At 41.6% G+C, this 14723-nt stretch overlaps 1 protein-coding gene across 2 annotated transcripts in view, besides 2 other annotated features; it reads left to right on the top strand.

The window, feature by feature from the left end:
• The window catches only part of SPTLC2 (serine palmitoyltransferase long chain base subunit 2), a 110641-nt gene that overhangs the window by 51794 nt on the left and 44124 nt on the right, over window positions 1-14723 (top strand). For both annotated transcript variants that reach the window (NM_004863.4, XM_011537384.3), the window contains exons 6-9: window positions 2355-2448; window positions 7698-7803; window positions 9325-9544; window positions 12622-12748. In NM_004863.4, the coding sequence (NP_004854.1) occupies window positions 2355-2448; window positions 7698-7803; window positions 9325-9544; window positions 12622-12748 (547 nt within the window). The remainder of the gene's footprint in view (window positions 1-2354; window positions 2449-7697; window positions 7804-9324; window positions 9545-12621; window positions 12749-14723) is intronic.
• Window positions 9907-9966: an enhancer, noted in NCBI's record as "active region_8805". NCBI's record gives its function as "activates an Ori minimal core promoter by ATAC-STARR-seq in GM12878 lymphoblastoid cells {active_cell/tissue: GM12878}" and the evidence as "EXISTENCE:reporter gene assay evidence [ECO:0000049][PMID:35858748]".
• Window positions 10237-10496: an enhancer, noted in NCBI's record as "active region_8804". NCBI's record gives its function as "activates an Ori minimal core promoter by ATAC-STARR-seq in GM12878 lymphoblastoid cells {active_cell/tissue: GM12878}" and the evidence as "EXISTENCE:reporter gene assay evidence [ECO:0000049][PMID:35858748]".

Here is a 14723-nt window from a genome sequence, read left to right as displayed (position 1 = left end):
GTGGGTTTGTGAATATTTTTATTATTTGGCTTATAATTCAACACAATTGCTTCTTTTTTGTTGCTCGAGTTTTAGTTTTGGCCATTGGGAGCTGCTTCAGGTGGGTACCTGTGTCCTTTGAATATATAATAACTTTTTTTTTTTAAAGCATTCTTATACTTTCTGGCATGATAAAATGCTCCAGGATCATCTTATATTTTCCCTATCCCAGTTTTGGAATTAACCAGTTCTCCAAGAAGTGCTGGTTCTTTTTTTTGGAGAATGATATTTAGAAACCAAGGTCTGGGAACTAGGTGTGTTTATTGCTGAAGGAGTATCACTGCTTCTCACCTCTCAGTGACTAGAGCTAGAAAATGTATGTATATATGCGAACTCATGCATACACACACATCTGTGTGTGTGTGTGTGTGTGTGTGTGTGTGTGTGTGTGTGTGTGTGTGTGTATGCATGCATAAAGATTTGAAAGCCAGGAGTCTATTGATACTGCCGGCTCTAGTCTTCTCCTTTTCCTTATTCTCCTTCTTCTCCTTCTCCTCCTTCTCCTCCTCTTCCTCCTTTTCCTCCTCTTCCTCCTCTTCCTCCTCCTCCTCCTTTTTTTTTTTTTTTTCCCCCCAGACAGAGTCTCCCTCTGTTGCCCAGGCTGGAGTGCAGCAGCACAATTTCGGCTCACTGCCTCACTGCCTCAGCCTTTTGTGTAGCAGAGATTTGAGGCGCCTGCCACCACGCCCAGCTAATTTTTTTGTGTTTTCTTTTTAGTAGAGATGGGGTTTTGCCATGTTGGCCAGGCTGGTCTCGAACTCCTGACCTCAAGTGATCCACCCACCTTGGCCTCCCAAATTGCCAGGATTACAGGCATGAGCCACCATGCCTGGCCACTTCATTTTTAATCTGTACATTTTTAACCAGGTAGCTTTTTTATCTTAATAAATACTATGTGCATAATAAAAATTTCAAACACAACTACTGTTACAAGTTTCTTAAGTATTCCTTTAAGAATATTCTGTAATAAATAAGCATGTATATATATAGTTGACCCTTGAACAACATGGTTTGAACCATGCAGGTCCACTTACACGTGGATTTTTTTCAACCAAATATGGAGCAGAAATACAGTTTTCAGCCAGGCACAGTGTCTCACACCTGTAATCTTGGCACTTCGGGACGCTGAGGCGGGTGGATCACCTGAGGTCAGGGGTTCAAGACCAGCCTGGCCAACATGGTGAAACCCCATCTCTACTAAAAATACAAATATTAGCTGGGCCTGGTGGTGGGCTCCTGTAATCCCAGCTAGCTGGGACGCTGAGGCAGGAGAATCGCTTGAATCTGGGAGGCAGAGGTTGCAAGTGAACCAAGATCGCACCACTGCACTCCAGCAACAAGAGCAAGACTCCATCTCACACACACACATACACACAATATAGTATTCATGGAACACAAAACCCAAGTATATGGAGGGCCTGCAGGTCCCACAGGGCCAACTGCAGGACATGAGCATGGATGGATTTGGATAAATGTGAGGGTGAGGCAGTTCTGGAACCAAGTCCTCCTGTAGACTGAGGGATGACTGTGTGTCTTTGTATCTTCTCTCTTCTTTTTATTCTCGTGGGAGCATGCTATATACTTTCTGCACCCTTTTCATCTAATTGGATATTATGAGGCTATTTTTGACAGAGAAAAACCTTTTTCTGAGTTGAGATCTGACAGGTTGAAGGGCCCCCTGAGAGATGGAAGAGTAAGAACTGCAGTGAAAAAAAAAACCAAACCGAGATCTTCAACCTTTTCTTAGTTGCCTTAGCAGAAACTGATGTTTGTGTGTTAAAGCAAAGCTTGTTTGGGGATTTTTAAGACAAAACTGAAGCCTACAGTCCATGCTATGTGGGGAAAAAGTTAATAAGTAGGATCTTCCCTGGACTCTGGATATGAGTAGTAGTGAGAGAATGCACCATTTCCACAGACATGACCCCATCAGCTGCCATTTCCCACAGATAAACAGAACATGATACTAAAACTACATGGAATTCTCTCACGTAAAGAAACCAAAACGTTTTAGAGACGGATGTGTCATGTTTTAGATACAAATAAAGACCTGTTGCCATATATCTGAGTATTTACATCAGTCATGGGACTGAAGATATTAAATTAAAAGGCTAGAATTTTGCATCTACTTTTAAGGTGTCTTTACAAAAAACAAATGATCGTGTACACCTTTTTCCTCTTCTTAAAATTGATCACTGTGCTGTTGTGCACAATTTCCTTAATAAGATACAGCTATTAGTGTTTGTGGCATTTTGTGATTTGTGTAACTAACCCTTTCCCCTCCAGCTTCTTACCTTTCTGTTCCTGTGATGTTGCAGGGTTGCCTGATTCTGAGTGATGAACTGAATCATGCATCACTGGTTCTGGGAGCCAGACTGTCAGGAGCAACCATTAGAATCTTCAAACACAACAGTGAGTTTGCTGAAGAATTCACTGCTGGCCTTGGTTTTGCTATTCTTTCGATCCATGGTGGGAGTTAACATTAGTTATATTAGCACTTGAAAGTATAAATGAAGACAAAGTAGCAACATTTAAAATGTTCTTCCGGTCCAGTCTTTTAAAATTAGAGGTTGATGGAAGCCTCTTGTACAAATATAATACTATCCTTTTATTTGACCATGAAGTTTTCCATCCCATTTCCTTGTTTACAGATCCGTTACTCAAATACATTTACTCGATGACTATAGTGTATCTTGCCATAAGACTAACAGTATTTAAGTGAATAAATCAAGATCTCTGACTGGTTAACGAAGAGACTTAATAGATAAGCCAGTCCTTACAATATAGTGGACAGGTGCTGAAGTACAGCTATGAATAGATGCTGTGGGAGCACAGAGGAGGGTGGCCCTGAGCCAGACCTTTCCTCCCTCAGTGGAAATATCTTTGTGTATTATTAAAATGATTATTTAGAATAAAAATGCGTAACTTTCATAGTTAAAACACACACATAGGCAGAAAAGGTGACCAAACTGTATGTTAATAGCATCTTTTCCCAAAATGTGTACAGGCACAGACAAAAGTTTGGAAGAATGTATACCAAAATGTTAGGTGTGTACCCGTGGATGGAAGGATCATAGATGATAACATCATTTTTGTTTTTGTTTTTGTTTTTGTCTTGTCTAAAATGTTTTACAGTGAGAAATGAGATCTTATTAAATATCACTATGTAACCTGTTATTTTCTTTTTTTTTTTTTTGAGGCTAGAGTCTCGCTCTGTCACCCAGGCTGGAGTGCAGTGGCTCAATCTTGGCTCACTGCAACCTCTGCCTCCCGAGTTCAAGCGATTCTCCTGCCTCAGCCTCCCGAGTAGCTGGGATTACAGGAGCGCGCCACCACACCTGACTAATTTTTAGTATTTTTAGTAGGGACGGAGTTTCACTGTGTTGGCCAGACTGGTCTTGAACTCCCGACTTCAGTTGATCCTCCCGCCTTGGCCTCCCAAAGTGCTGGGATTACAGGTGTGAGCCATCATGCCTGGCCTCTTTTTACAATACACGGTGATTGTTGTTTGTCATTACATGTAACTCTATCTCATTCTTAAATACCAGTGTGGCAGTTAGTGCCTGGGTGTGCCCTCATTTAATTGCCCCCTCAATTGGACATCGGGGCTGTTTCTAAATTTTTCTACTGGGAACAGCACTACAGTTACAGTTTTGTACCATCATCTGGTTAGTGCCTTAGGATAAATTTCTAGCAGTCTCAGAATGCATGGTTAAAAGAGTATACATTTTTAATACTTTTCCAAATTGCCTCTAAGCATTATATGAACTTTTTTTTTTTCACTTTTATTTTAGGTTCAGGGGTACATGTACAGGTTTGTTATATAGGTAAATTGCATGTCTCGGGGGTTTGTGTACAGATTATTTCGCCACCCAGGTAATCAGCATAGTACCTGATAGGTAGGTAGTTTTTCGAACCTTACCCTCCTCAACCTCCCCTGCCTCACTCTCAAGTAGACCCCAGTGTCTGTTGTTCCCTTAGTCGTGTCTGTATGTACTCAGTGTTTAGCTCCCACTTACAAGTGAGAATATGTGGTATTTGGTTTTCTGTTCCTGTATTAGTTTGCTTAGGGTAATGGCTTCTAGCTGCATCCATGTTGCTGCAAAGGACATGATCTCATTCTTTCTTATGGCTACATAGTATTCCATGGTGTATATGTACATATATATATATATATTTTTATTTTTATTTTTGAGACAGAGTCTTGCTCTGTCTCCCAGGCTGGCATGCATTGGCATGAACTCAGCTCACTGCAACCTCTACCTCCCCAGCTCAACCGATCCTCCCATCTCAGCCACCCTAGTAGCTGGGACTACAGATGTGTTCCACCACGCCCGGCCAAGTTTTTTGTTTTTTGTTTTTTGTGTTTTCTTTTTGTATTTTTTGTAAAGATGGGGTTTCACCATGTTGCCCAGGCTGGTCTTGAACTCCTGGGCTCAAGCAATCCACCCACCTTGGCCTCCCAGTACTGGGATTATAGGCATAAGCCACCACGCCTGGCCCACATTTTTTTAATCCAGTCTACTGTTGATGGACATTTAGATTGATCCTATGTCTTTGCTGTTGTGAATAGTGCTACAATGAACATACACATGCTTGCATCTTGTATGAATTTTTCCTCAACAACATGAGATTGACTGTTCCTACTCACTGGCCAACATAGGCTATGGTGAATCATTTTAAATCTTTCCAAATCTAATGAGGAAATAATATGTTAGTTTTTATTTCATTGCTTATTAGATATAGAACAACTTTTTGCATTTTTACTGTTTTTTTAACTCTACTTGTAAGCTAATGTGTTTGTATTTCTTTATAAATTGGCCATTTTCAAATTGTTTCTATTTTTTACTGATTATAAGAGCCCTTTATATTAATTATCTTTTCCTTTATGTTGCATTATTTTATTATTATTTTTTTGAGACAGGGTCTTGCTGCATCACCCAGGCTGGAGTGAAGTAGCAGAACCACAACTCACCACAGCCTTGACCTCCTAGGTTCAAATGATTCTCCTGCCTCAGTCTCCTGAGTAGCTAGGACTGTAGGCATCCACCACCATGCCGGACTAGTGTTTTTTATTTTTTATAGAGACAAAGTCTCGCTGTGTTGCCCAGGTTGGTCTTGAACTCTTAGGCTGAAACGATCCTGCTGTCTCAGCCTCCCAAAATGCTGGGATTACAGGAGTGATTCACCATGCCCAGACTGCACTATTTTTATATTTTTGACTTTGTTTTCAGTGTCTTCCTGTACAGACTCATGAAAATGTTTTTGTTGCCACACTTACTGTTTTACGACTTTCGGATTTTACACAATACCCTCCTCATTCTCAGATCATAATGTTATTCTTTCATGTTTTCTTCTGGGAGTTTTGCGATATATTTTTTATTTAAATTTATGTGGAATTTGGGGGCATAACATTGGAGAGATTGAATTTTTTTTTCTAAGTAGATAATATGGTTAAGCATTCTGCTATAGGTATTTCTTTTTTTTGAAACAGTCTTGCTCTGTCACCCAGGCTGGAGGGCAGTGGCGTGATCTTGGCTCACTGCAACCTCCGTCTCCTGGGTTTAAGCGATTCTCATGTCTCAGCCTCCCAAGTAGCTGGAATTACAGGTGCCCACCACCACAACCGGCTAATTTTTTTTGTATTTTTAGTAGAGACAGGGTTTTGCCATGTTGGTCAGTCTGGTCTCGAACTCCTGACCTTAAGCGATTCACCCGCCTCGGTCTCCCAAAGTGCTAAGATTACAGGCGTGAGCCACCACACCTGGCTGATGCTTCTTTTATCTAAAATTTTGACCAGTATTATTTTTCTCCTCCTTCTATATATAAACAGAGAAAACTAAAATAATTCCTGTGTTTTTACTTGTCTTCAGCTGATCGCCATACATTGCTCTCTGCCTAAGAACTGGAGGCTTTGCAGGACTTGGGGAGGCCAAGGAGGGCAGATCACCTGAGGTCAGGAGTTCAAGACCAGCCTGGCCAAAATGGTGAAACCCCACCTCTACTAAAAATACAAAAATTAGCTGGATGTGGTGGCATGCACCTGTAATCCCAGCTACTCAGGAGGCTGAGGCTGGAGAATCACTTGAATCCAGGAGGCGGAGGTTTCAGTGAGCAGAGATCACGCCACTGCACTCCTGCCTTGGCGACAGAGCAAGACTCTGTCTCAAAAAAAAAAAAACAAAAAAACTGGAGGCTTTGAGTCAGGACGTAATTTACTTCTGTAGGGAACATCTCCTGAATCTTGATTAGGTCGTATGCAGATTTTTTTCTTAGAAATTACTGAATGTGTAAGCACAGTCACAACCTTAGACTATCTTATTTGTGTTTGTGTTCTGTGTTTTTATTACCTTATCTCTTTTTCTGTCAAAATTGTTTTCTGCAAAGAGCAAAATCATGTACTTTTATAACTCCTTCCTCCAGTTACAAGCAATACAGAATACAAAATCAGATTTTATGATAGGGCCAGGCGTGGTGCTCACGCCTGTAATCCCAGCACTTTGGGAGGCCGAGGCAGGCGGATCACCTGAGGTCAGAAGTTCAAGACAAGCCTGGCCAACATGGTGAAACCCCGTCTCTACAAAAGTACAAAATTAGCCTGGCGTGATGGCGGGTGCTGGTAATCCGAGCTACTTGGGAGGCTGAGGCAGGAGAATTGCTTGAACCTTGGAGGTGGAGGCCTCAGTGAGGAGAGATCACACCATTGCACTCCAGCTTGGATGACAGAGGGAGACTCCATCTCAAAAAAAAAAAAAAGATTTTATGATAGGATGTCTCCCACCCCTATTAAGTATTCCCCAGACTTAATGTTGCTTAAATTTGGGGGAGTTTTTTTTAAGGACTTCATTTCAGGGCAGGTATTTTAAGTATGAAATCTGTAGTGTGGCAACAATGGTCTTCAAAGCATTTGTCTTTAACAAGGAAATTATGATCATCATTAATGGCAGTAGCAGCCAAGTTGTTTCCAGGCCCATTAACCACCATAAGAACCAACAGAGCCACAAGAACTTGGTTGTTTATGGACAACTGATGAAGTCAAACATGGAACAATTTCAACTGATTGTCAGGCTTGCTTAACACACAGACTTATACATGCCCCAGACGGGTGTATTTTTAACCCAGTACCAAAATAAAACTCTTTAACAAGCGTTTATTGAGTACGTCCTGGGTGAAAGGAAATGGAGCACGCACTGTGAAGTTTTTTTACGCCTTGCGTTTGTTTTTTTAGGAGGAGTATGTGTCTGTGATGGTTTATTCACACTCTCTCGCTCTGTCTTTTTTACGCATTTATTTCCGAATGACTCACTGGGATTAGAGATACAGTTTGATTCTGTATTTTTCGATAAACACACAGAAGCTAACTTAATGGCAGGGTATTTAACATGAGACACTGGTCATTTTATAAGGAAGCTAATGAACTGAGTTAGCCACCACCGTCCTTTAGTCAAGTTTCGATGGTTTTGAACATTTGTTACATTTTGGATTTCAATTCAAGGTGGCAATAATTCACCTATTTTGCCCTGCTTTTTTCTGCCCAACTCTAATTATGTCCTTTGCTATCTGAGGCATGGTTTCTGAATGAGAAATATATCTCTGCATTTCCGGAATAAAGTTAGGAAAGAGGAAGATGCGGTATAACTGTTCTTTTTTGTGCTCTGTAGATATGCAAAGCCTAGAGAAGCTATTGAAAGATGCCATTGTTTATGGTCAGCCTCGGACACGAAGGCCCTGGAAGAAAATTCTCATCCTTGTGGAAGGAATATATAGGTAATCCTGCTTTATTATTCTTACCTTTGTGACTTGGCCCCATGAAGTCATAGAATTTTTTAACTGAAGGGAACATTAGTCTATCCCCCTCTGGAAACTAAGGAGACAGTGTTTATAAGTCGCTAAAATACCTGGAAACAGAGTCAGCATTAGAACAGAAGTCTTTTTGTCTAGTTCTTCGTTATTCTTTCCATAATACTACATGGTCACCAAATCCCCTTTCTATTTGAGTCTTTTATTTTTCTAGTTTGTAGAGGGAACCTATATGTAGGGGCAAGAATTGGAATATATATTTTAATATGTCAAAACAAATTACACACCATTTAATTTTAATAAATATTTTATTTTAGGCTGAGTGCAGTGGCTCACGCCTGTAATCCCAACACTTTGGGAGGCAAAAGTGGGAGGTCGCTCGAGGCCAGGAATTTGAGACCAGCTTGGGCAACATAGTGAGACCCTGTCTCTGTAAAAAATAAATAAAAATTAAAAAGAAATATTTTATTTTGGTTAACCTTTACAGCTTTTACACGTATTTTTACCACCTAATTTTTTTTGTTCTTTTGTGTCATTTTAATTGCCTGTGCAACGTGATGCAAAGTCTCATGTTGCCTGTAATTACAAGCTTTAGAAGAATCTGCTGTGACCTTAATTATTTTTGTCGTGAATTAAGATTGCTTGTGTTTGGTGCTTGTTTTTTGTTTTTTGGTGGTTTGGGTGGCTTTTTTTTTAAGATGGAATCTCGCTGTGTCACCCAGGCTGGAGTGCAGTGGCGGGATGTCGGCTCACTGCAACCTCCGCTTCCCGGTTCTCCTGCCTTAGCCTCCCGAGTAGCTGGGATTACAGGTGTGTGCCACCAAGCCCAGCTAATTTTTGTATTTTTAGTAGAGACGGGGTTTCACTGTGTTGGCCGGGCTGGTCTCGAACTCCTGACCTCAAGTGATCCGCCTACCTCAGCCCACCAAAGTGCTGGGATTACAGGTGTGAGCCACCGCGCCCAGCCAGTGCTTGTTTTAAAAGTCCAGTTTTCTTTCCCCTAGTCTTTTGCCTTGCCATGGCTTCATCTACCTTTGTCAGTTTAAGCCACAGATACAGTTGTCAGACCATTTAAAACCCAATAAACTCAGCCGGGCAGGGTGGCTTATTCCTGTAACCCCAGAACTGTGGGAGGCCAAGGCGGGTGTATCACTTGAGGCCAGGAGTTCGAGACTAGCCTGGGAAACATGAGGAAACCCTATCTCTACTAAAAATACAAACATTATCTGGGCGTGGTGGTGGCGGGCACCTCTAGTCCCAGCTACTTGGGAGGCTGAGGCACAAGAATCGCTTGAACCCAGGAGTCAGGGATTGTAGTAAGCCGAGATTATGCCACTGCACTTCAGCCTGGACAATGGAGCAAAACTCTGTCCCAAGAAAAAAAAAAGAAGCAGTAAACTCAATAATAATGAAGTGCCAAACTCCCAATTTTGATTTAAAAAGTCTCAGTGTATATGTGTATATATATATTTTTTCATGTTTTGCCAGCATGGAGGGATCTATTGTTCGTCTTCCTGAAGTGATTGCCCTCAAGAAGAAATACAAGGCATACTTGTATCTGGATGAGGCTCACAGCATTGGCGCCCTGGGCCCCACAGGCCGGGGTGTGGTGGAGTACTTTGGCCTGGATCCCGAGGATGTGGATGTTATGATGGGAACGTTCACAAAGAGTTTTGGTGCTTCTGGAGGATATATTGGAGGCAAGAAGGTAAACGAGCCATGAGAATGAGCGATTAGAGATAAAGTCACTGGCAATTAGATTTGGTACCTCAGGCCTAGCAGATGGGGCCCTGAACTGGGATGTCCGCAAATTTGCCTCTGGTTTAGGCTCATAATACCAGTGAGTGACTCTAATGTCTCCTCACTGAACTAAAGGCTGGTTCTGTTCATTGTTTGTTGTTTTCTTATTTGAGCTTCTTTCTAAGCTACATGCTGATCTGAGATATAGAATACCCTCTTGTGTGAAAGAACACACAGTGGTGCTCCCTGCCCGCCCCAGCCTTCTGTTGGGTTTGCATTGTGCTCACAGTTTCAAAAACAGTGGGGTTGTCATGGGAGCCCATGGGAATAGCAGGTCACCTTGCCCTTGGACACAAATATATCATGAGTGAACATGGAGACAGGAAGCAAAAAAGTTGTGCCAGCTGTGGGGTACTACAAAGCATTGTATTTTTCAATTTTTAAACTATGAAGTTGCCTTTTCTGGGTCTTTGTAGTCAGAAAAAAATCATACGGTGAATTTTGATGCAGGTAAGAATCTGTGGTGTGGTCGAAATGGTGAACCATAAAGACAGAGGCCTGGGTCTGAATATTTCTCGGCTTACTTTGTTAGACCTCAGGGAAAACATTTAACCTCCCAGTTTCCTTGTCAGTAAAATGGAGATAAATATGCCCAGCTTGTAAGATTGTAGTAAGGGTTTAAAAAGTAATATATGTCCATGCTACAACGTGGGTGCACCTTAAAAACATTATGGTAAGTGAAAAAAGTCACAAAAAGTCACATATTGCATGTTTTAAAATATGTGATACCTAGAATAAGCATAGAAACAGAAAGTAGATTAGTAGTTGCCGGAGGCGGAGGGGATAGGGAAATGGAAAGTGAATGCTAATGGGTATGAGGTTTCCTTTCAGGGTTATGGAAATGTTCTAAAATTAGTGGTAAAAGTGGCACAACTCTGGATATACTAAAAACCACTGAATTGTGCTTTAAAACGGTGAATTCTGTGTATGTGGCTTATATCACAATGAAGCTGTTATTTTTAAACGTTGATTGCAATGTTAGGGAAAAAATAATGTATGTCAGGTATTTGTATATGGCACAGAGGAGGTGCTCATAAATGTTCTTAATTTTGCTTCACCACTCAATATTCGGAGTATTAAAGAATGGTTATGCTGGGCACAGTAGCTCACACCTGTAATCCCAGCACTTTGAGAGGCTGAAGTGGGAGGATTACTTGAGCCCAGGAGTTCAATACCAGCTGGGCAACATAGTGAGACTTCATCTCTACAAAAAAGTAAAAAAATTAGCTGGGTGTGGTGGTGGCACATGCCTGTAGTCCCAACTATGGGGGAGGCTGAGATGAGAGGATTGCTTGAGCCTGGGAGATCAAGGATGCAGTGAGCCGTGATTACACCACTGCATTGCAGCCTGGGCAACAGAGCAAGACCCTATCACAGAAAAAAAGGTCATTCTTTTAATACTTGATTGCCTGTTAGAGAGAACTCATTTTCAGTGACTTTTAATCAGCTTTGATAGATTTTTTTTTTTTTTTTTTTTTGAGACCAAGCCTTACTCCATTGCCAGGCTGGAGTTCAGTGGCACAATCTTGGCTCACTGCAACCTCCGCCTCCTGGGATCAAGCGATTCTCCTGCCTCAGCCTCCCAAGTAGCTGGGACTACAGGCACGTGCCACCATGCCCAGCTAATTTTTTGTATTTTTAGTAGAGACAGGGTTTCACCGTGTTGGCCAGGATGGTCTCGATCTCTTGACCTCGTGATCTGCCCGCCTCGGCCTCCCAAAGTACTAGGATTACAGGTGTGAGCCACTGCACCTGGCCAGGTTTGATAGATTTTTATCTCAAATATTACCTTTTTGTTAATGGGACCAGGCTCACTTTGGAGAGTTGTTTTTTAGTAAGCTTTGTGGCTGTGAACCAAAGGATAGAAAAATAATACTCTGGGAGATCATTAAAGTACAATATATTTGTGCTTTTGGTTTTTTTAGTACAATTTTTAATATTTTTGAGATAAAACTGTTTCATAGCCACATTTGTGTCCCCCTAATTTGTTCTGGTACATAAGCTTCTTGTGTGTGCATTTTAAAGATTTGGTGAAATTAAAAGATATCAGAGAATAGGGATATACAATTAAGTTTTTTTGAAATCCTTGTAAATGACAGAGTTTTACTTTATTCAGTGAGATGTCATTGGCATTTTAATAAAATACCTTGTAAGTTTCTATTTCACATTTATATCATTTTATACATTTCTGCATATCTGGAGGAAGTTCTAATGCTCTTAAAGTTGATGTTAGAGAACTGTTATTTAGGGGTAGAAGGATGGGCTTTATAGGCACACAGAGCTGCAGATGACATTTTCTGTGATACTTGGAATTAAATCATTATATCTAAAAAGCAATCCAAACACCTTGTTTAATTCAGCTGTGTTCATTTATTTTTAACTTTTTTTTTTTTTTTTTTTTTAAGACGGAGTCTCACTCTGTCCCCCAGGCTGGAGTGCAATGGCGCAATCTCAGCTCACTGCAACCTCCGTCTCCTAGGTTCAAGCGATTCTCCTGCCTCAGCCTCCCAAGTAGCTGGGATTATAGGTGCCCGCCTCCACGCACAGCTGATTTTTGTATTTTTAGTAGAGATGGGGTTTCACCATGTTGGTCAGGCCAGTCTTGAACTCCTGACCTCAGTAGATCCACCCACCTTGGCCTCCCAAACTGCTGGGATTACAGGCATGAGCCACCATGCACGGCCATATTTCTAACTTTAAATGATACATTCTCCAAATTTAGAGGGGTTGTTTTAAAACTAGTTTTTCTCTTATGTTGTTCCATGTTTAAAAAACAAAACCAAACCTAAGAACTTTGCCATGTTTCTGACCCAGTTGTTGCCAGCGGTATGCTTCGACCATGTTGGTTGACCTTGTATCTCAGATTAGTGTCCCTATTCCAGTGCCATTGAAGTGAGGAGTCCTCTAGAACTTAGAAGGAAAGGACTGACATTGCCGGTGAATGCAAGAATTGTCTCTACTTATCTGCCTCTGTGAACTCCCCAGGAGCTGATAGACTACCTGCGAACACATTCTCATAGTGCAGTGTATGCCACGTCATTGTCACCTCCTGTAGTGGAGCAGATCATCACCTCCATGAAGTGCATCATGGGGCAGGATGGCACCAGCCTTGGTAAGTCTTTCTTTTCTTGAAACATTGCATAAGTCCACCTAGCAGCCAAACGTGCTGTTTTTCTTGAGCTTTTTTCCTAAAATAAATAGTCAGGTTTACTAATAGGCAGAGCTGGCTGGTGTGTGGTTTCCATGGACACTTTTTTAGTGTGTTTGATACATATGCCATGAGAACGACCCTGGCTCACTTTCTATGGAATTTTCTTGTTTATAGATGGGAGGCTTTACTCTTACTATCCTACATACCCTCTTAACTCAGAGGTAATATACCTTCGAGGTTTTTCTTGAATTACATAATTTTATGTGAAGGTATAATTCACTGTTAGTGATGTTTCATTAACAGCATAGTTAAGAGCTGCTGTTTTCATAAATTAGTATTCCTGATTTAATGCCTTTTTAAAGAGTTTCTACTTTCATATACGGTAGATAATAAATGACATCCTGAATCAGTTTATTTTGTCTTTGATGGGATTTGTAGTCCCAACTAGATGCCTTGATTTAAACATACTACTGTGAACAGTGAAGTTCAGTGTTCACTTTCTGACATTTGACTTTTATTCTGCAACACCAGAGGGCAGTATTGACTGCAGAACAGTGGTACTAAAAGGGGAGCAACTGGGTGTCTGTCTTTACTTTAAAAAATATTTTCATTGCATGTATGAGACAATAATTTCACTTGTCGCTTTTTTTTTTTTTTTTTTTTTTTGAGACGGAGTCTCACTCTGTCACCCAGGCTGGAGTGCAGTGGTGTGATCTTGGCTCACTGCAAGCTCTGCCTCCCGGGTTCACACCATTCTGCCTCAGCCTCCCGAGTAGCTGGGACTACAGGCGCCCGCCACCACGCCCGGCTAATTTTTTTGTATTTTTAATAGAGACGGGATTTCACCGCATTAGCCAGGATGGTCTCGATCTCCTGACCTCGTGATCCGCCCTCCTCGGGCTCCCAAAGTGCTGGGATTACAGGCGTGAGCCACCGTGCCCGGCCCAGTTGTTGCTTTTTTAATGCTTGTAAAGTCAGTTTGGCATTTGTAAAAGATTTCACATTATCAGCCATGAGCTCTCCACTCTACAGTTATGTAATACTTTATTGTAAGATTGATTTGGCTTGCATCGAATAAAGTGGCACATCTGATTTTGGTTGGTTTAAGACTGTTTTCTTTCTTTCTTTTTTTTTTTTTCTGGTTTTTGTTTTTGAGACAGAGTCTTGCTCTGTCTCCCGGGCTGGAGTGTAGTGGTGCGATCTCAGCTCACAGCAACCTCCGCTTCCCAGGTTCACATGATTCTCCTGTTTCAGCCTCCCAAGTAGCTGGGACCACAGGAGTCTGCCACCACACCTGGCCATTTTTTTTGTATTTTTTGTAGAGATGGGGTTTCACCATGTTGCCCAGGTTGGTCTTGAACCCCTGGGCTCAAGCAGTCTGCCTGCCTTGGCCTTCCAACGTGCTGGAATTACAGCTGTGAGCCACCACACCCAGCTGACTGTTTTCTTTTCTTTTCTTTTCCTTTCCTTTTCTTTCTTTTGAGATGGAGTTTTGCTCTTGTTGCTCAGGCTGGAGTGCAATGGCATGATCTTGGCTCACCACAATCTCTGCCTCCCAGGTTCAAGCGATTCTCCTGCCTCAGCCTTCCCGAGTAGCTGGGATTACAGGCATGCGCCACCACACCCGGCTAATTTTGTATGTTTAGTAGAGACCGGGTTTCTCCGTGTTGGTCAGGCTGGTCTCGAACTCCCGACCTCAGGTGACCTGCCTGCCTTGACTTCCCAAAATGCTGGGATTACAGGCGTAAGCCACCGCGCCCAGTCGACTGTTTTCTTAAATCAGAATTTTACCTTAACATTTTTTCTGATCTGTGCTAGATCCTTGTTATCTCTAATGAGAGATTTTTGGAAATAGTGAAATGTGATCATTTTCAGTTTTGTGAATTAATTCCTTGAAGAAGTTGTTTTATTAATGTTGCAAACACATAGTGGAGCC

This window comes from Homo sapiens, chromosome 14 (assembly GCF_000001405.40).
Source record: "Homo sapiens chromosome 14, GRCh38.p14 Primary Assembly".
Lineage (NCBI taxonomy): Eukaryota > Metazoa > Chordata > Mammalia > Primates > Hominidae > Homo > Homo sapiens.
The sequence above is the reverse complement of the archived record's forward strand: the minus strand, read 5'-3'. Positions and strand labels throughout refer to the sequence as shown.